The sequence below is a fragment of the Homo sapiens genome, chromosome 5 (assembly GCF_000001405.40).
Source record: "Homo sapiens chromosome 5, GRCh38.p14 Primary Assembly".
In the NCBI taxonomy this organism is placed as follows: Eukaryota; Metazoa; Chordata; class Mammalia; order Primates; family Hominidae; genus Homo; species Homo sapiens.
In genome coordinates, this window is record NC_000005.10 from 178,398,111 (window position 1) to 178,420,816 (window position 22,706).

The 22,706-nt window shown below is 45.5% G+C and overlaps 1 protein-coding gene across 11 annotated transcripts in view, besides 1 other annotated feature; it reads right to left on the reverse strand.

Moving 5' to 3' along the window:
• COL23A1 (collagen type XXIII alpha 1 chain) overlaps positions 1-22,706 on the reverse strand; it is a 352,776-nt gene that overhangs the window by 160,493 nt on the left and 169,577 nt on the right. The gene's annotated exons all lie outside the window — the stretch shown is intronic.
• Positions 20,008-20,897: an enhancer, noted in NCBI's record as "H3K27ac-H3K4me1 hESC enhancer chr5:177845119-177846008 (GRCh37/hg19 assembly coordinates)". NCBI's record gives its function as "activates a minimal SCP1, AML or CMV promoter by ChIP-STARR-seq in primed H9 embryonic stem cells {active_cell/tissue: H9 hESC(primed)}" and the evidence as "EXISTENCE:reporter gene assay evidence [ECO:0000049][PMID:30033119]".

The following is a 22,706-nucleotide window of genomic DNA, read 5'->3' on the forward strand; positions in this document are numbered from 1 at the left end:
GAGGATAATAAGGGCATGTTGGCCATGTCAAAAGAGAGCAACTTGGGTAAAAAAGATCAGGAAAGCCATATAGGAAAAGTGACAGAGCCTTTGAATATTTGTGCACGAATAACTCCCTTTATCAACATGCTGTGGCGTTCAGATGTGAACAGTCTTCATGTGCTTTCACACGTTTATTTGTAAAATAACTCCAAAGAGAAAAAATTATTCTTTTTTTTATTTAAAAAAATTCTCAGCTGGGCATGGTGGCTCACGCCTGTAATCCCAGCACTTTGAGAGGCCGACGCAGGCGGATCACATTGGGTCAGGAGTTCAAGACCAGCCTGGGCAACATGGCAAAAACCCATCTCTACTAAAAATACAAAAATTAGCTGGGCGTGGTGGCACGTGCCTATAGTCCCAGCTACTTGGGAGGCTAAGGTGGGAGGATTGCTTGAACCTGGGAGGTGGAGGCTGCAGTGAGCTGAGATTGAGCCACTGCACTCCAGCCTGGGAGACGGAATGAGACTCTGTTCCCCCACCAAAAATACTTCTCCCAGAGTTATAGCTTAAATATTGTTAAATGTAAAATTAATTCATTTTTACAATTTTCGGTTTCTATTTTCAAGATTTAGTCCCAAGGAAACCTTTGTTCACTATTTATTATGAAATTAAAAGGCCTCTTTCAGGGACCCGTTGTTCTCATAGGAAAGGGATCCCCTAGGCACGTCTTGTGCTAACAACATGTCTCTCGTTAGGCTGTGAGTGCTCAGGGCAGGTCTTAGCGTTTTCTTCTTTGCATCCCAGCACCCAGACAGCCTGGCACTGACGAGCTGCCCCACCAGGCGCTGGTAAACACACGGGTGGAGAGACTGCATTCTGCGTCACTCCGGGATGACTGCTCAGCTCCAGCGTACAGCAGTGCCCTTGCAGGGTCCCTGTGCACGGGCAGAGGGCCCTGGGCTTGTGGGCTTCAGTTGCTGGGGCTGGAAGGGGCACCTGGTCCAAGGTCATGCACACGGATGCTGGCATCGAAATACATCCTGATCAGATGGCTCCTCACAAAGGAAAATCACTGACATGGAGTGTGGTGTTTCTGAGCAGGAGGTCAGCAGCCCCAGGACCTGCCTTCTGCTGCCCCTCCCTCCCTCACGTGCTGGGGAGCTGCAGCTGTGAGCAGCCAGCACAGAGAAGAGAGAGAGTCAGGAGTCAAAGGGAGGGCCCCTGGGAGGGAGAGGGAGGAAAAGTAAAGATAGACAGAGACGGAGGATCCTGCCAGCACTCACTAGCTGCTGGATCCAGCCATGGCTGAAGCTAGCCCAGTCCAACACTTTTACATTTTGGGAGCCAGCACCTTCTCCTTTTTGTTGAAGCCAGTCTCTCTTGTTTGTGACTGGGCCACCTTGTTGAGCCGATTGCTGGGAACATGGAAGGGAGCAGCTGACGGCAGGCTGTCAACACAAGGCCCACGCCCCTGCACGGGGGAAAGCACAGGAGACTCACCAAAAGCTCTGCAAACATGGGCTGTTTACCCAGTTTTAAAACAATCCTACTCAAGGGTTGTGGGGAGGGTAGCAAAACAAACAAGCAAGCCAAAACCAAAGATGGTTTTTAAAAACAGAGCATCAAAAGGAGGCTGACCAAAGGAGGGAGGGGAGTAAACATCTCTAACTAAAACCTCACTCGAGGAGATACTGAAGTATCCAGAGCGGCCAGGCTTCAGACTTGGTCTCCAGGGAAAAATGTACTGACATGATTGTTCTCTCAGTTAGAATAACGACGGCCGCATGGTTCTCATTCCCTTCGGCTCATCTGTCTCCGGATCCACCCGCGTCCATGCCTAGGGGCCTGGGGACAGGGTTCCTGGCACTGTGCTGGGGCACAGTGGAGTTGATCGATATTTGTTGGTTAAATGAATGAACCAGCAAGAACAGTCGGAGCCCAATTGGAACACCTCTATCTTTTAAATTTTTATTTTTAAATCTACATGGAATAGGCTGGGCGCTGTGGCTCACACCTGTAATCCCAGCACTTTGGGAGGCTGAGGCGGGTGGATCATGAGGTCAGGAGATCGAGACCATCCTGGCTAACACGGTGAAACCCTGTCCCTACTAAAAATACAAAAAAATTAGCCGGGCGTGGTGGCGGGCGCCTGTAGCCACAGCTACTGGGGAGGCTGAGGCAGGAGAATGGCGTGAACCTGGGAGGCGGAGCTTGCAGTGAGCCGAGATCGCGCCACTGCACTCCAGCCTGGGCGACAGAGCGAGACTCCGTCTCAAAAAAAAAAAAAAAAAAAAAAGTCTACATGGAATAAAATGCATTCTTTTTGGTGCACCGTTCTTTGTGTTTTGACAATCGAGACACAGAACAGCTCCGTCAGCCCCAAACTCCCTCGTCCTCTGTAGGAGGATCTGTTCTCTGTTTCTATAGTTTTCTAAAAATTGTGGTAAGATAGACATAACATAAAAGTTACCATTTTAACCATTTTTAAGTGTACAATTCAATGACATTAAGTACATTCACAACGGTGTGCAACCATCACCACCATCCATCTCCAGAACTTTTTTTTTTTTTGAGATGGAGTCTTGCTCTATCGCCCAGGCTGGAGCACAATCTCAGCTCACTCCAACCTCTACCTCATGTGTTCAAGTGATTCTCCTGCCTCAGCCTTCCAAGTACCTGGGATTACAGGCACCTGCCACTACGCCCGGCTAATTTTTGTATTTTTAGTAGAGACAGGGTTTCACCATATTAGCCAGGTTGGTCTCGAACTCCTGACATCAGGTGATCCACTGGCCTCGGCCTCCCAAAGTGCTGGGATTACAGGCATGAGCCACCGTGCCCGGCTATCTCCAGAACTTTTAAATCATCCCAAACAAAAACTCTGTACCCATGAAACACTAACTCTCCATTTCCCATTTCCCCCAGTGCCTGGTAACCTCCACTCTACTTTCTGTCTCTATGAATTTGTTTATTCTAGGTACCTCACATCAGTGAAATCAATCAATATCATCCAACTCCTTTTGGGTCTGGCATATTTCACTTAGCATAATGTCCTCAAGATTCGTCCACTTTGTAACATGTGTCAGCATTCCCTTCCTTTTAAGGCTGAGCAAATACTCCATCGTATGGATGGATCACAGTTGGTTTATCCATTCATCCATTGATGGACATTGGGTCATTTGTATCCTCTGGCTATTGTGAATAGTGCGGCTATGAACACTGGGGTACGAGCATCTGTTTGAGTCCCTGCTTTCAGGGATCATCCCTGTAGTTCTGCCTCATAAGAATGTCATAGAAATGAAGCATAAAGCATGTAGTATGATTTCTATTTTTGAGTCTGGCTTCCTTATCTTGGCATAGCGCATTTGAGATCCACCCATGTGGTGTGTGTCAATAGTCTGTTCCTGTTTATTGCTGCATAGTATTCCACTGCACAAATGTACCACAGTTTCTTTACCCATTCTCCATTTGAGGGATATTTGGGTTATTTCCAATTTGGGTAATTATGAATAATGCCGCTATAAACATTTGCATACAGGTTTTTGTGTGAACATAGCTTTCTTTTAGGTAAATTGCAGAGTCATAGAAGTAGATGTTTAACTTGATAAGATACACTACCCAACTGTCTTCCAAAGTGCCTATGCCATTTGACATCCCCCTAGCAGTATATGAGAGCTCTGGTTGCTCTGCAATCTCACCAACACTTGGTATTGCTAATTGCCTTTGTCTTTTTTTCTTTTGAGATGGAGTCTCGCTCTTGTTGCCCAGGCTGGAGTGCAATGGCGCAATCTCGGCTCACTGCAACCTCCACCTCCCAGGTTCAAGTGATTCTCCTGCCTCAGCCTCCCAAGTAGCTGGGATTACAGGCGCCTGCCACCACGCTCGGCTAATTTTTGTATTTTTAGTAGAGATGGGGTTTCATGATGTTGGCCAGGCTGGTCTCAAACTCCTGACCTCAGGTGATCCGCCCACCTCAGCCTACCAAAGTGCTGGAATTACAGGTGTGAGCCACCGCGCCCAGCTGCCTTTGTCTTTTAACCCATAAAGTATCCATTAGTTGTCAGATCTAAATAATAGAATAATGATAGCAATAAGAAGTGAGTGAATGAGTGAACTGGCTGGGCGTGGTGGCTCACATCTATAGTCCTAGCTCCTAGGGAGGCTGAGGTGGGAGAATTGCTTGAGGCCGGGAGTTGGAGGCCAGCCTGGACAATGTGGTGAGACCCTGTCTCTAAAAACAGAGACACAGAAAAACATATTTGGAGCCAAAAAAAGTAGCTCTCACGAAGACAGAGAGTAGACTGGTGGCTCCCAGAGTCTAGGAAGCAGGAATGGGATGAGGAGAGGTTGATTAATGGGCACAAAGAGACAGTTAGAATAAATAAGATCTAGTATTTAATAGATCAGTAGAGTGACTATAGTTAACAATAACCAATTGCACATTTCAAAATAGCTAGAAAAGAATTATTTAAATGTTTCTAGCAAAAAGAAAAGATAACATTTAAGGCAACTGGCTGTGTGTGGTGGCGCATGCCTGTAGTCGCAGCTACTTGGGAGGCTGAGGCAGGAGGATCACTTGAACCCAGGAGTTCAAATACGGCCTGGGACATAGCAAAATCCTGTCTCTTAAAAAAAGAAAGAAAAAACATATATATTTAAGGTGATGGATAAACCCTGATTTGCTCTTTACACATTATATGAACGTATCAAAATATCACGTTTCCTCCAAATATGTACATCTGTTATGTATCAATTTGAAAAATTCAGAAATAGAATTAAAAATCCAAAAAAGGAGAAATGTTCCATGAATTCTGAGCACACACAAAAACGTGAGTGAATGAATGAAAATACTATTTACTCAAAAAATTAGCCAGGCGTGGCAGTGTGCACCCACAGTCCCAGCTACTCAGGAGGCTGAGGCAGGAGAATTTGCTTGAACCCAGGAGGTGGAGGTTGAAGTGAGCTGAGGTCGTGCCACGGCACTCCAGCCTGGGCAACAGAGAGAGACTCCATCTCAAAAAAAAAAAAAATAAATAAATAAAAAATAAATACCATTTACCGAAATCTTCTACAAGTCAGACACATATCAAACTGTTACTGCACGCCAGATGTGGTATATACAGTTTACAGTGTTTTATCTCATTTAATCCTTACATTAGCCCCAATTTACTGAGGACAAGACTTAGACACAGTGGAGGAATAACCTGCCCAAGGTCATGCACCCAGCAACGGCTGAGCCAGACCTGACCCAGGAGTTCTGGATCCAACACACCTCATGCCTCCCTCAATATGGCGCTAAAATGCTACTTGCCCTTCCTTCCCTTGGAGAGTTTCAAACGCGTTATCTCCATTATTGCAACAGCCCCTTGAAGGTGGGATTGTTCTTCCTATTTCATCGATGGTGTCCACTCAGCCAGTGAGACGCAGAGGCCCCGGTGCCTGGCCCACCTGTCCTGAGCCCCAGCCTCCACCATATGCCAGGGCTCACAATGTGTAACGCCACTTCCAGGCAAAAGGCCTAAGAATGAAATAAAGGCCAAGATCTTCAGGTACCTTTCAGAGCCCCAAGTGGTCCTTATAGTTCCTGGCTGAGATGCCTCACAAATGTGTAACCATTGTTTGAAGCCGCTTCCCTGTGCACCAACTGTGCCCAACACCTGCAACGCTTTCCAAGAAAGACAATGTGAGGCCAAAGGAAAGAAAAGAACAAATGCTTTTACGCAAACACCTTGATTGAAGTGTTGATCTGAAGGCGCTTGTGAGCCTTTTGGGGTGGCCCAGAAGGGCAGACCTGTGAGGCCCCCATCATGGCCTCGAAGCCACAGGCTTGTCCAGCTTCTCGTAACAAAAGCCTCAAAAGAATGACGGATTTTTCTAAAGAGAAGTTCAAAGGATCTTTTCTGGCCTTTGGTGAGATTCCCGGGAACAGAGAGGCAAGGAAGACAGGCAGATGGGGTCTCCTGCACCCCATGTCTCCCCATGGCCCTGCACACACCCTGCCTCCATTCATGTAGTGAACAGTCAGAACCGGAAGACGGCAGCCATTCGCGGAGCGCCTACTGTGTGCAGGCAGCATCTGCCTCCAGTTCCGGCGTTCTCTCTTCAGATCCCCTTGTGGGGTACCATGCCCATCACAAGGAGTGGCCACACCTTAGTAATGTGCTCAATCGCAATCACTGCCACCATCATTCATTCATTTAACAATGAAGGACCACAGTCCAATAGAAGACACAGGTGTGGATGCAGCAAGGAGAGGCAGGCACCAGGTTTTCAGCAACACCAGGAGGGAGAAACCAGTGCTGCTGGGCAGGGCACACTTCATGCAGGAGGAGATTCTTGAGCTGTGTCCTTTGAGGAGTTTGCCAGGAAGAAAAGGGCACTCCAGGCAGAAAGAACAACACAGACAAAGGCACCAAGGCATGAAATTGAAATAACATGAAAATTTGAGGGAAATACAGCTGATTCCTTATGGTGAACCTGGCCCAGCCCCTCCATTGGTCCCTGGGACCTTGATCCCTGCCGCACATAGTGGCCACTCAATAAATCTATGCTGCTGGCCAGAGACCAATGGTCCTGCAAGGGGCACGAAGACCATGTGTGATAACCAGACCCCTCATGTCCTCCGTCCCCTCAGAGATGCAGAGGCTCACGTGATATTGAGGATGGAGGCCTTGAGGGTTGACAGAGACCTGGGCCCACACCTCTTGGCATTCCCTGGGGTGTGCGAGCTGCAACTCTCCCTTTCCCTGTCTCACTCCCTCTCCCAGTCAGGAAGACAAACCTAGGACCAGCACACCAGGACAAGAATGAGCTCACTATGCAGCTAACCTTGATTTTGCTTTAACTTATAATAGAAAAGGAAGTCATCTACAAACCCTGGTGTTTTTGCTATTGTGGATAACACATAACCAATGACATCCCCATACCAGGTGCCCCTGCCGCCATGATCCCTCCTCAGGCTTGGCCAGGTGACCCCCTAAGCATCCCTTGGAGCCCATCTCTACCTCCCGCATTCGCACCACAGGCCACAAACACTGGCAGCCCAAGGGCCAGATGGGCTTGCATGCCCGCAGCGTGTCTGGTTCTGTGTTTGCTCTGGGAAGTGATGGATAAACCACAGCCCGGCTCTGAGGCCACCTCCACCCTGACGTTTCTGCCTTGGTTTTGTGAGTCAGTAAGTTCTCTTTTGCTTCAGCTAGTTTAAGTTGTTACATGTTTCAACACTTCTGATTAATATAGCTCTGTCCTCGTTTACATTGTTCTTCAAACAAACTATGATTCAATTTTTGTATTTTCTTTCTGACCCAATAGTTTTAGGAGATTGTAAATCTCCAGATGGCAAGGTTTTTGTATGCTTAAACACTTTCATTATTAATGCCTCATTTATTACACTGTGATAAGAGGGAGAATTGAAAGAGGTGACTCCTTTCCTTTGCATTGTTAAAAAAAGTATCACATACCCAAATGTGACATGCAATCGCACCTACTGTTGAAACTCTGAAAGCATCCCCATTAAAGTCAGGAACAACATGAGGATGCACGACGACCACCACTACTGAACAGTTCTCCAGAAGGCCAAGAGAAAGGAAAGAAAGAGGATGAAAAATACAATTACTTACACATTGTATGATTTGATACTGCAAATCCATGAGAACAAACTAAAAACCACTAGGAGTAATGGAAGAATATAGTAAAGAGAATAGATGAATATTTAATATTCAAAAACTAGGCTGGGCGCAGTGGCTCATGCCTGTAATCCCAGCACTTTGGGAGGTCAAGGCGGGTGGATCACTTGAGGTCAGGAGTTAGAGATCAGCCTGGACAACACAGTGAAACCTCATCTCTACTGAAAATACAACAATTAGCCAGGCATGGTGGCATGCAACTGTAGTCCCAGCTACTTGGGAGGCTGAGGCAGGAGAATCCCTTGAACCTGGGAGGCGGAGGCTGCAGTGAGCTGAGATTGCGCCACTGCACTCCAGCCTGGGCAACAGAGTGAGACTCTGTCTCAAAATAAACAAACCAACAAACAAAAACTAATGGCATTCTCATGTACAAATAATAACCAGTTAGAAGGTATAGTGGAGAAGTGTCCCATTTTTAATAACTAAAAGAACAAGATAAAAAAAAACCTAAGAGTAAATTCAATAAGAAATCAAAAGATGTATATGAAGGAAGCTTAAAATAACTCTCCTGAGGGATACTGAGAAGGCAAACACAGTGGAAGACATGCTAGTTCTTGGAGAAGTAGAGACATGTTCAGCATTGAAAAGATGCTCATGTTCCTTATATTAATCTCCAAAATTGATGACATACCAATAACCATACCTACACTCTTTTTTTTTTTTTTTTCTTGAGACGGAGTCTCGCTCTGTCATCCAGGCTGGAGTGAAATGGCGACATCTCGGCTCACTGCAATCTCCGCCTCCTGGATTCAAGCGATTCTCTTGCCTCAGCCTCCCGAGTAGCTGGGATTACAGGCACGCGCCACCATGCCTGACTAATTTTTGTATTTTTAGTAGAGACAGGATTTCACCATGTTGGTCAGGCTAGTCTTGAACTCCTGACCTTGTGATCTGCCCGCCTCAGCCTCCCAAAGTGCTGGGATTACAGGCATGAGTCACCGCGCCTGGCTACCTACACTCTTTATTTGAAAACTTAAAATAATATTGGGATTCACGTGGAGAAAACACATATGATAGCTTTGATAACTTTGAAAAATTAGTGTAATGAGTAAAGACTAGCCAGATTAAGAATTTAAAATGTTATAAAGCTACAATAATTAAAACAACTTGGCAAAAAGATACAGTAGACATACTTTCCCTACTCCTCTTGCTAAGTACAGCTAAAACCCCTAGACATTATATATACATATGAAGAAGACCCTGAAAGATGGAGAGAAACAGATCAGCTAGGCAACCTGGGGCCTGAGAAAGGACAGAGAGGTGAATTTACTTGTTTGTTTCGGTCTCATATATGCAGAACTGGGTGCTAAATAAGTTGGTAACTCAGAAACACCCACAGTGTCAGTGGAAGCCCCATGGGGAGCAGTAATGAGGCACTCCTGCCCCACCCAGCAAGGGTGGCATCAGTGGAGGCCTAGTGGGGAGGTGGAACTCTCATCCCTTCCCAATAGTAACAAGGAGCCCCTCACCACCTTAAGTGTCAATGGAAGCTCAGTTGAAAAGTTGGACTTTCACCCTCCACCTGAAAGTAATGAAGTGGTGCTCCCTCCCCCTTTATCATCAGCATGGTGTCGGAGGGGGCCAGCTGAAGCACAAGATTTAACAAAATCCAGAGTCTCATAGCACAATACACAAAATGTCCAGGGTTTAATAAAAGATCATGCATCATACCAAGAACCAGGCAAACCTCAACTCCAATGGGAAAAGACAATCAACAGATATGAACACTGATGTGACAGAAATGTTGGACTATCTGGCACAGACTCGAAAACAGCCATTATAAAAATGCTTCAGTGAGCAATTATGAACACACCTGAAACAAATGAAAAAACAGAAAGTCTCAGCAAAGAAACAAGATATGAAGAGGAACCAACTGGAAATGTTAGAAGTGAAAAACACAAGAAATGACATGAAAATTTCAATGGAGGGCTCAACAGGAGAATGAAGAGGACAGTGGAATCAGTGAGCTTGAAGGCAGAACCAATAGAAATTATCCAAACTGAACAAACAGAGAGAAAATAGACTAGGGAAAAAAAAGGAACAGAGCCGCAGGGACCTGTGGGACTAAAACAAAAGATCTGACATTAGTGTCAGCAAGAGTCCCAAGAGGAGAGGAGAAATGGAGTGAGACTAAAAAAGTATTCAAATAAATAATGGCTGGGGAATTTCCAGATGTGCCCAAAGACCTGGGCCTACCAATTTAAGATGCTGAGCAAACATCCAACAGGAAAGAAACCGAAGATTTCTACACCAAGAAATATCACAGTCAACTTCTGAAAACTCAAGGCAAATAAAAATATTTCAGAGAGAAATGACACCTCACTTACTGGAGAAAAGCAATTAAAGTGACAGTGGATTTCTTCTCAGAAACCACGGAGGCCAGAAGGAAGTGGCAAACATTTTTTCAAGTGCTCAAAGAAAACACAAAATTCTACATCTAGTGAAAATATCCTTCAGGAATAAAGGGGAAATTAAGACATTTTCAGGTGAGGTTAAATTAAGACAAGTTGTCACCAGCAGACCTACCCTAAAAGAATGCCTAAAGCAAATTCAAAACTGGAAGGAAATAATTAAAGAAGGAATATTGGAACATCAGGGAGGGAGAAAGAACACAGTAAGCAAAAATATGGGTAAATATAATAGGTCTTCTTTTACAGAGTTTTCTAAATTACATTTGATGGTTGAAGCAAAAATTAGAACACCGTCTAGTGTGGTTCTCAATATATGTACAGAAAACATTTAAGATAATTATGTAACAAATGGGGGAGTGTAAAGGAATGTAATGGGAGGAAAGGTTTCTACACTTCAATTAAACTGGTATAGTCACCCTGAAAAATAGTTTGGGAGTTTCTTAAAAAAACCCCAAAAAACAAAAAACTAAATATACACTTATCAGGCCAGGCGCGGTGGCTCACGACTGTAATCCCAGCACTTTGGGAGGCGGAGGCAGGCAGATCACCTGAGGTAAGGAGTTCGAGACCAGCTTGACCAACATGGAGAAACCCCGTCTCTATTAAAAATACAAAAATTAGCTGGGTGTGGTGGCAGGAGCCTGTAATCCCAGATACTTGGGAGGTTGAGGCAGGAGAATCACTTGAACTTGGGAGTCAGAGGTTGCAGTGAGCCAAGACCGTGCCACTGCACTCCAGCCTGGGCGACAAGAGCGAAACTCTGTCTCAAAAAAAAAAAAAAAAAAATACACACACACACACACACACACACACACACACACACACACACACACATCATGTGGCTGAACAATTGCACTCCTAGGTATTTATCTCAGAGATAGGAAATTTTTATGTCCACACAAAAACCTGTACATGGATGCTCATAATATTTGTATTTGGGTTATGTGTAGTAGCCCCAAATTGGAAACAACCAAAATATCCAACAATAAGTAGGTGACTAAGCCAACTGTGGTATAACCGCACCATAAAATACTACTCAGCAATAAAAATGAATGAACTATTGATACATCCAACTTGGGTGGATCTCAAGGGCATCATGCTGAGTGAGAAAAGCCAGTCTTCGAATGCCACACATGGTATAATTCCAGTTCTAAAACATTCTTAAAATGACAAATGTAAAGCTTTCTTAAAATGACAGATTGGTGATTGCCAGAGGTTAAGAGTGGTGAGAGGTTGGAGATGTTAGGAACATTGTCATGGTATGATAGTGCTGTATAGTGACTGTGGTGGTATTTACACTAGTGTGTGTGTGTGTGATAAAATGGCACACTGCAACAATGTCAATTTCCTGGTTTTGATAGTGTACCAGAGTTACATCAGATGCAACTATTGAGGAACACTGGCTGAAGAGTACAAGGGACTTCTCTGTACTATTTTTGAAACATTCTGTGAATCCATAGTTATTTGAAAATGAAAGGTAAAATTTTAAAAAGCCATTTGGCAGTGAAGAATAAATTGACAATATAATCACAAAGTATGTAGAACTCAGAAATGGATCCAAATACAGTTGAGAAATTAGAATGGCATAAAGATGGCATTTCGATCAGTGCTAAAGGATAGATTGTTCAGAACAGATAAAATTGGATGCCTACCTCAGTCATTTTACCAAAATACATTCCAAATTTATCAATGATATAAATGTAAATATAAAATAAATAAAATTGTAAGAATGAGACCTTCATGAATTTATTTACATTAGATTGAGGAGCGCTTTCTAGGAGGATATAAAAATCTGGATTTCATGAAAGAAAATACTGACACATTTGACTATTTAAAAACAAAAAACAAAAACCATCATAAACAGGGTCATGCAACTAACATCAAATTGAGACAAACAGTTTTACCATCTATGATGAAAGGTTAGTTTCTACATTAGAAATGCTTACATAATACAGTATGAAAACAGAAGTTATTAGAATATAGGACGAAGGATATGAATAGGCAATTTACATAGAGCAAAATGAGAATAAATTTGTGAAAAATATCCAACCTCACATTTTGTGTTTATGAATAGGAATACTTAATATTGTTAAGATGGCATCACTTCCCAAAGCAATCTACAGATTCAATGCACTTCCTATCAAAACTCCAGCCACCTTTTCTGCAAAAATGGAGAAGCCAATCCTCAAATTCATACGGAATAGCAAGAGGGCTTGAATAGCCAAAATAATCTTGAAAAAGAAGAACAAAGTTGGAAGACTCACACTTAACCAATTTTTAAACTTACTACAAAGCTATGGTAATCAAAACAGTGGGGCATTGGCATAAGGATAGATATAGACCAATGGATAAATTGAGAATTGAGAGTCAAACTCAATATCTACATGCCAAAGAATCAAACTGAACCTCTACCTCACACCAAATACAAAAATTAATGCGAAACAGTGGCTTAAATATAACATCTGTAACTACAAAATTCTTAGAAGAAAACACAGATAAATCTTCATGACAATGGACTTAGAAGTGGATTCTTAGATATGACACCCAAAATACATGCAACGAAAGAAAAACCTTCATCAAAATGCAGTACAATTTCATCAAAACTTTTGTGTGTTAAAGGACATTATCAAAAAAGTAATACTACACCATACAGAATGCAAGAATACATTTTCAAATCATATATCTGACAATACTAATAGTAATTCAGAACATATCTAGAATATATAATCAAATTAAAAAACGCTTACAACTCAACAATAAAAATACAAACAACCCTATTCAAAAATAAGCAAAGGACTTGAATCGACATTTTGCTGAAGAAGATACACAAACAGCCAACAAGGATATGAAAAGATGCTCAACACTATTAATCATGCAACACACAAATCTAAACCACAGTGGAATACCACTTCACACCCACTAGGAAGGTTAAACCAACAACAATAACAACCCAGAAAATAACAAGTGTTGATGAGGATGTGGAAAAATTGGAACCTTTGTACACTGCTGGTAGGAATGTAAAATTGTTCGGCTCCTGTGAAAATGTTTGGTGGTTCCTCAAAATCTTAAACAGATAATTACCATATGACCCAGCAAATTCACTCCCTGTTATATACCCCAAAGAAGTGAAAACAGGAACTCAAATACATACATGTACGTTTACAACAACACTAATCACAATAGCCAAAGGTGAAAACAACCCAAATGCCCATCAAAAGATGAATAGGTAAACAAACTGTGATACACACATGGAATGAAATTATTATTTATCCATAAAAGGAAATGAAGTACTGATACATATTACAATGTGGATGAACTGAAAAAAATATGCTAAATAAAGTAATCCAGACAAAAGGTGTTGTATAACTTACATGAAATATACAGAATATATAAAGCCATAGAGACAGAAAGCAGACTGGTGGTTCCCAGGAGCTGGGAGGAGGGGGAAATGGGGGATGAATGACTGCTCAATGGGTATAGGTTCTTTTGCGGTGATGAAAGTGTTCTGCAGCTGGATAAAGGTGGTGGTTGCACAACGCTGTGAATTTATTAAATGCTACTGAGTTGTTCACTTAATTTTGTGCTATATGAATTTCACCTCAATATTCAACCTCATACATAATTAAAGTCATTAAAATCCAAGCAAGATACTATTTTTGCCTATAGCATTGGTAGAACATTTAAAGTTTAACAATACTCTGTGCTGATGAAGATGTGTGGAAATAGAAACTTGTGTGTAATGTTACTGAGAGAATAAGTCGGCATCATTTTAAGGGCAATGTGGCAAAACTATCAGCAATTTAAGGGAAAGTTTTCATCTTTGACTAGGCAAGTCCATTGACAGAGTTTTTCCTTATAAACACACTCATGAATGTACGTGTAACTGTAACATTGTATATAATGGTAAAAATGGAAGCAGCGTAAGTATCGATCAATTGAGGAGTGGTTGAAATAAATCATGGTACATTCACACAATGGAATACTATTCTAAAAAGAATGAGAAAGATCTGCATGTGACAATGTGATCTCTATGATATATTATTCTTTGAAAATATAAGGTATGAGTAGTGTGACCTCATTTGTGTGAGTTTGTGGAGCATGGATACATTTTTTTTCTGTAAGGATATATAATAATCTGTTAATTGTGGCTACTTTCCTCAAAAAGAACTAGAGGTAAAGGAAGGGAAAGAAAACCCAGTTTTCATTTTACATTTTTCCATCCTGGCTAATTTTCTTCTTACCACTAAATATAAACAAATTTACAGTTCTCCAATTCCCAAAGTCAAGAAGAAAATAACTTCTAAAGTCTGTTCTACACACAATGATTTTGGAATTCTGTATATCTTTCTTTACTTCTCTACCCCTTCCTTAATTTTCCAGTCTTTATTAATGTAATCTGGGATTACAGAGATCATATTTTTGCACAGTTCTTTATTTTTTGGTGAAGCATAATATACATAAAAGTGCACGTATCACAAGTGATATGACATTTTTAACATTTTACTCTTTTTTTGAAAAATAATTTTTGGATTTGATTTTGTGACTATAATTTTAAATTTTCAGTGTCTCAATATATTTCATTGATTTTGGTGCTCACATAGACTTTCCTCTCTGGATTCTGATTTTGATTCCTTTTTTCCTTGACTGATTACATATGCTAAGCAGTTTTCTCAGAAATGCTAAGTAATATAGAGCCTGAGACACTGTACATCATCTGGAAATGTTGTTTCCAGTCTTCACCCAAGAATGACAGCACAGCCATATATGGAATTGTTGAGTACAACTTTTTCTATTCCAATTCTGAGCCTGGGCAACATAGCAAGACCCATTTCTACAAAAAAAAAAATAGCTGGGCATACTGGTGTCTGCCTGTAGTCTCAGCTACTTGGGAGGCTGAGGCAGGAGGATCACTTTAGCCCAAAAGTTCAAAGTTACAGAGAGCTATGACTGTCATAGCATTCCAGCCTGGACACAGAGCAAGACCCATCTCAACAACAAAACAAAACAAATTCTGTAGGCACAGTTCCACTGTCTTCTGATGCTTAGAACCATGGAGAAATTTGAGGCTATTTTGCTTTTGGATAATTTGCAGATATTGGTCACATGACTGTTTATGGTAGATTTTTTCCCCCTTGAATGCTTGTAGAATAGATTTTTACCCTTTAAATTAAAATAACTTGCTACATGAAATCCAGGTGGCGTTTTCCAATTTACCTTGAATTCAACGAGTCCTTTGATAGAAAGACAGAACTTTCTCAGTAAACTTTTCTTATATCATATGTTCAATTATCCTCAAGATTCTTTCCCATTTATTCTACTTCAGTGCTTGGAATTGTGCCAGGCACTGAGAATGCAGGAGTTCATAAGACATGGTTTCTGATCTCACCAAACTTTAGTTCAATGGGAAAGACAGACAGCTGATCAAGTAATTACAATGAAGAGTGATGACAGTTACAAGAGAGAAGTTCCAGATGAGATGGATCACAGGCTGCATGATTGCTCTTAGCTTGGGGTAACTGGGAAGGTCTCATTAGCCTATGTGGGGATGGGGAATTGGACAAGGTTAGCAGAGGGTTCCAGGCAAAGGAAACAGCATTTATTAAGAAGTTGGGAATGCCTGAATCTTAGGGGAAGTGCGGTATTGTTGTAAAAGCTAAGTATTATTATTTGGGGAGGTGGGTGGGTGTCAGTTTCCTCTTTTGTCTATCCAATGTCTGTTTCCATCTGCAGATAAGGTCTTGGGAGCTCCTTAGATCTGAGCCCAATCTGCTTGCATTTTTGACAGCTTCTCTGTGCCCCAAGCATGAAGTCCAAGCTGATGTAACCAGCCTGCAGCTGGGGCTAGGACAGCAAGAGGGCACATAATTCATGCTGCTGTGTGCTCCGGTCCTGCAGTGGGAAGACTCCCAGCTTTACAGAGGGAGCTGAGAAGGGGGACCCTGGCCCTCTGCTGTCACGCTCTCCTCTGTTGATCTCATGTGGGGAAACAACTCCGCCCTGTGCTGGGCCAGCATCAGCAACAGCATCAGGTGACTTTGTTATTCCCACAGCAACAGCAGTGCTGTAAATGAGTATCTACCACCTGCTGGCAGATGATTTATCTACTTGATTGCAAGCTCTCAGAGGGCAGGAATTGTATGTACCTTATGTCACCACCACCACCTGGCAGAGGGTCTGGGAGAGTGCCGTGGCTCTGGCATTAACTACAAATATCCTTTTTTTAAAAAAAAAAAAAGGACTTGTTTTCCCTCCCATTTACCACTTCTCCAAAGGCAGGTAAATGTGTAAAAAAAGGCAACCAGGGCCGGTGTGGTGGCTCACGCCTGTGATCCCAGCACTGTGGGAGGCCGAGGTGGGCAGATCAACTGAGGTCAGGAGTTCGAGACCAGCCTGGCCAACAGGGTGAAACCCCGTCTCTACTAAAAATACAAAAATTAGCTGGGCATGGTAGTGTGTGCCTGTAATCCCAGCCTCTTGGGAGGCTGAGTCAGGAGAATCACTTGAACCCGGGAGGCGGAGGTTGCAGTGAGCTGAGATGACACTACTACACTCCAGCATGAGTGACAGAGTGAGACTCCAACTAAATAAAAAAAGGCAACCAGGAAAGCAAGTAGTCCCTGGGACTGCTTCTCAGAAACCCAACCCAGCTAAGGCAGCCACATCCCACAGCCCTGCTTGAAGGCAAAGCAAGACCATCGAGCCCACCTAGGTAGGTGATGACGTGTGGAGGTGTGGGTAGGGGTGGGGAGTGGGAGGAGGTAACAAGGGGGTATGAAGTGGAGTGGGGTGAAAGGAGAGCCAGAAATGGCACCCAAAATGCAGCTGCTGCTGACCTGCCTCTCTGCTTCCACAATAAGATGAGGGCAGGTTTTTAAACAGTTTGTGCCTCAGTTTCTCAGCACGAAACCCGGAATATGTGAGTGCTGGTTCTCTCTGCCCCAGTGAGCTGGGCTGCTTGGATTCAGCCTCTGACTCTCCCAGGAAGGAGCTCCAGTCAAGGATCCTGGCATCTTGCTTGGTGCAATGACACACTCTTTTCTCCAGTGGGGTCCACATGGTGCCAGTTACAGTGCTCAGTGGGGACGAGCCCGCCTTGCTGGGTGAGTGACGTGGGTCTGTGCCACAGTGGGAGTGCTGCAGACACTGAGCCACCAGGCTGAGTAAACACTGTGCTCCAAATCAGTCGAACGTCTAAAAACCGTCCTGCCCCCCACCCTCAGTGCACAGGCTGTGGCCTCTTTCTCCCCGGGCCCGGGCCCTGGAGCACGGCTCACCCTGCTGCCTCTCTGCACAGGCTTGCTGCTGCCAGCCGGCCTCCACGAACACTTCTACTGTCTCCTGACCTCTCCACAGCCAGAGGACACGAGGGACGCCCCTTGCAGATACTTCCAATGTGCTGACTGCTGGCACCAGAGGACAGTGCTGCCCCCATCCCGCCCTGGCTCCATGAGGGCAAGGGGACTGTGCGGGCGGCGGTGAGGTGGGCAGTCAGCAGACTGTCCCACGCCACATCTGTGCCCGAGCCCTGCTGCACAAGGGGATGCAGAAGAGTGAGCACGAGGTTCTTGCCCACAGAGAGCTCCCAGCCTAGCGGGAGGTAGACAGGCAAACAAGAAAGACTGAAAACTCCTCGAGGGCACAACTGCAGACATCAGGGGCAGGATAAGGGAGAGGAGGTACTGGGTGAGGCCAGGGAGGGCTTCCGAGGGAGGTGATTCCAGGGCTGGATGGGACCAGAGAGAGCTTTCAGGAGGTGAAGTCAGAGCTGGGCCCTGAAGGATGGGACCAGGGAGGGCGGACGAAGCTGGGGCAGAGCCAGAGATCCAGAAACAGTAGGCCAAGTCATGAGAGTCCCAAACATCAGCTGCCCCAGTGCCATTCTCACTGAGTCTAAACCCTCCCATTCATTCATTCATTCATTCATTCGCTCGTTGACTACATACTGGTGACCTACTGTTGCCAGGGACCCAATATAGACAAGAGATGAGCATCCAGGTTGTTGTACATCTGGATTGCTTACATAATGTGTAAAACATGATGACCAACTAGTTGCCAGGGACCCAATATAGACAAGAGATGAGCATCCGGGTTGTTGAGAGGTTCAGTCTTAGAGATGCGCAAAGAGACAGCCCTGCAGCTGGCCTGCCTCCCTCAGGAGGCTCCCCGGGCCTCCATCGTGGCTGACCGGAGCTCGGCACCTGTCTTCTCCTTGGTGCCTGGATCAGCTTGGCCTTGGGGAAAACCCCGAGGGAGGCAGTGCTGCTGGTCTGGCTGCTGGGAGTGAGCCCGGAGGGGTGGGGCCCAGGAGGAGATGTAGTTGGACCAGGATGATACGGAGGGGTTAGAGGGAGATGGGTGGCTTCCACAGGTATTCAGCAGACAGGATTAACCATACCCATGCCTATTTTAAAATCATTTGTATGTGCTGAGTGCTTTGTGAACATTATCTCACTTAATCGTTTCAAGCCGGTAGTAGTATCCTTCCCATTTCACAGATGAGGAAACTGAGGTTCAGAGATTAAATAACTTGTCCAAGGTCACACAGTTAAGTAGGTAACTGATGAGATCTGGAGTGGGAGTTGCTAAGGATGACCCCGGAATCTAGTTTAAGCACACAGCCCCCAGGGCAGGGGCTGCATTCTCAGATGGAGAGCATAGCAGGGAGGAGCTGAGGGTGAGGGCAGGCTGTCAACACACAGGATGATGGCAAAGCCTCCGGTTCAGGCCCATCACAACCTGACCACAGCCCGAGATCTGGCCTCCTCTCCTCTCTCAGCCCTCCCCAGGTATAATTCTTTCCCAGGAGACCTGGAGCTTCCTGAGACTTAGGGGCCTTGTGCAGTTCAGCATGAGCATAGGACCTGCCACCAAATAGTGCTTGTTGAATGAATCACGATCTGATTCACTCAGCACTGTCAGCAGTGTCAGCAGCGTTTGGTCCTGAAAGGAGGCTTGTGCTTACTGGAATGCTGGGCGAGGCGGTGCCAGTCTTTCCCAACGGATGGCTCTTCTGGATGTACATACAACACATACAACACACATGCATCTGTTCAACAGAAGGATGTAAACAGACACACTCACACAAAACATACACAGACATGCACACATGTGTGCACACACATGCCAATCTAAGCTCAGAGGCTTGACCCTGCTGATTACTGCCTTCAGACTGACGCCAAGAAGTCCTGCCTTCCTCGCTACGTGTACCTCGCCAGTATTTTTACAGGTAAAGAATCTGACCTCTTTCTAGTAGCAGAGCTGTGCTTCCGATCACTGCCCAAAGGGGGAAATCACGCCCGCAACATTCTGGATTCTCCCTCTGGGAGAAAACCACAGCCCTGCCTCCCCATTCCATCCCCCATTCCCCCAGCGAGATATCATTATACAGCAGAAAACCACAGGATCCATATCAGACGGAAATCCAACCCTCAACGATAAAGCGACATTTGAAAGAATGCTCAAGAACAGCCCCGTCTGATTAGACGGGGAATACTCATTTCTACAGGGAGTTATGCCTCCCTCACCTTGCTGCCCGCTTCATCCAGGCCAAGGAGACGGAGTTCATTAGCAGAACACATGTGGCTTGTCTCCACCATTAGGATAAAGATCACAAAATACCCGCAGAAACGAGGACGTTCTGAACCTGGGCTGCAACAACAACCTCTGACTTGGGCCCAAAGAAAATTGCATTTTTTCTGTCAAGTTCAATTAATAAACATTTATTCAGAGCCTATTATTTATTCGGGTTTGTTTTTCAGTCCTGGGCCTCTCTGTCAAGAGTTTCTCCTCACTTCAGGATGGGCCCTGAGGAAGGAGCCCTGGGCTGCCAGTGAGTGGGGCTGCAGAAGTCAGGCCTGTGGAGGACCCAGTGTCTGGAGGACTTGGCACTCATGTGCCCTGATTCAAACCCTAGGTCTGCCACTTGGTTACTGTGTGATCTTGGATAAGTTACCTAACTTCTCTGTGTCTTGGTTTCATAATGTGTAAAATGTGATAATGATAGCACCTACCTCAGGGTGGTGAGGACTGAATGATATAATACACATAGAATATGAGACTGTATGTATTCTTTGAAGGTTGGCTCTTATTATTACTACCATCAGGATAATTATCCGGCTAGCTGGGACCTCTCATGTGGGCTCCACCCTCAGTTTTCTTGCCCTATTAGACTTAAGGCTTGAAGTTCCTCCATGCAGTGGAGTCCTTCCCCTACGTTCCAGCTTTCCTGGAGAGATCCTGATTCTGTTGTCCCCTTAGCAAGAAACTGGAACCAGCCCCTGTGCACCTATCTCGGCCATGGGGTCTCACTCTAGCATGAGTGCCACTTGCCCCAGCTGCCTGGTATCGGCCTGCTGCCCTCAGGCAGAGCCACCTACTCAACCCCCACTCAAACCCACTGGTGCTTGGGTGCCAGGCGGCTGGCCAGCCCTTTCACCAGCCTCCCAGCCCCACAGTGACCCACGCTGTGGAGCCTAAGCTGTGGCCACACCAAGTCCTTTGTAGGTGGCAGGCTGGAGATGGAGAGGATTAGAGAGAGAAGATCAGAAACAAGCCTCCAGTCCGTGCAGCACCCTCTGCTTGTCGGCACTGGGAGGCAGGCCTGGCCTAAATCCTTGGTTGTTACGCCTGCACAGTAAGCCATGTGGCCCTGATTCTGGCAGGACTGCAGAGATCCAGGTATCATGCAAAGACTAGGATCATGCAATTACAGGTTTACTGTCACCACCCCCAGCCTGCCCCACAGCTCTAGAATGGAAGCCCCAGGAGAGCAAGGACTCTGCCTGCCTCATCCACTTCATAGTGCTTGGAATGAAGTCTGACCTATGGCAGATGCTCAAGAAACACTTGTGGAATGAACGCAGCAAACACAGTTGCCCCATCCTGTCTGCTCCCTGTCCTCCTCCACCCAGGCGTTGGCACTCGCTTTTAAGGTGAGGGGCATCACCCGGTGTCTAACGTGGCTGTGGCCATGCCAAAGTTCAGTGGCTGCTACCTGCTGGCCCTCTGTCCCTCAGTCCCTAGAGCCAAATGTCTTCTCTGACTGGGTTTTTGCTCTCAGTTGCTCAGGAACTCTGTTCTCGTCAAGGTTGACATTGGTCTAACGTTAAGCCGAAGAGCCAGTCGCATGGAGGGTCAGTGGCTGAGGACACAGGAACAGCAGAGCCAAGGCGAGCCTCCACCCTTCTCTCCCATGCAAAGCTGAGGTCACCGGTAACGACAGTAAACACTGACTGCAAACCTGTTCTGTGCCAGGCACTGGGCTCGGCACCACGACCTGAATTATCTCCTTTAATCTGCACAGCAAACCCTGGGGTCACTATGATTAGCATCAGCCTGTTTTGTAGATGAGAAAGTGCTGGGGGGCAGTGGGTTGCAGACTGGGCATCCCTATGCCTCCCCATGTGCTGGCCCAGTCCCTAATGTCGGCGTGTGGGGTTTCCTCCTCTTCTCCCCACCTCGTGTTAAAGCAAACTAAATATGGCCTGAGAAGGACTCAGTACTTCTATATCTGAGTCCTTGTGGATGAACCATAACCTAGCTTAATAGGCAGGCAAAACTGAAAACCTAACTTACTAGTATGCACCTGTAACAACAGCTGAGTCTTGGCCAATCCCAGCGGCCATCCTTCAACCACTCATAGACCGCTGAGTGTTCAAACTGCGTTCAAATAAGGCAAACGCCGAGCTGTAACCAGTCTCACTCTTTCTGTACCGCACCTCTGATTCCTGTGTGTCACTTTACCCTTTTTGTCTATAAATTCGTTCTGACCACGAGGCACCCCTGGAGTCTCTCTGAATCTGCTGTGATTCTGGAGGCTGCTGGATTCACAAATCATTTCTTTTTCTCTTTTTTGTTTTCTCAAGTAAACTCCATCAAATTTAACTTGCCTGAAGTTCTAACACTTGTTTTCAGTCTCAGGGAAAAGCTGAACCAAGAACTGTTTTCAGCAAGTCTGAGTTTCTACCGCAGTCTCGTCACTTATCAGCCACACGGCTTAGGGAAAGCATACCACGCTCCTCACTTTCCTCTTCTATGAAATGGGGGGAATAGATGCACTTCCGTGGGGCTGCCAAGCAGATCAAACAAGAGCGCCCGTGGGCAGCACTCGTGCCAGCACAGGCCATATGGGACAGGTGGTCAGTGAAGCCTCCACTCCCTCCTCCCCTGCCCCTCCTCTCTTTCCTCCTCCCCTCCCCCCTTTCCCCCTCCCCTCCCTGAGATGTGACCTCCCTTCTCCCCTCCCCCGCTCTTTCCTCCTCCCCTCCCCACCTCTATCCTCCTCCCCTCCCCCGCTCTTTCCTCCTCCCCTCCCCCCTTTTTCCTCCTCTCCTCCCCCTCCTCACTTTCCTCCTCCCCTCCCTGAGATGTGACCTCCCTCCTCCCCTCTCCCACTCTTTCTCCTTCCCCTCCCCCCTTCCCCCCCTTTCCTCCTCCCCTCCCTGAGATGTGACCTCCCTCCTCCCCTGCCCCTCCTCTCTTTCCCCCTCCCCTCTCCCCCACTTTCCCCCTCCCCTCCCTGAGATGTGACTCTGTCCTTCGGGCTACAGCACAAGGGGAATGTGGGCTTTGGGCCTTGAAAGGGCAAAGAATCTCCCAAACAATGAGAAACTTGCTCCACTTTGGGGTG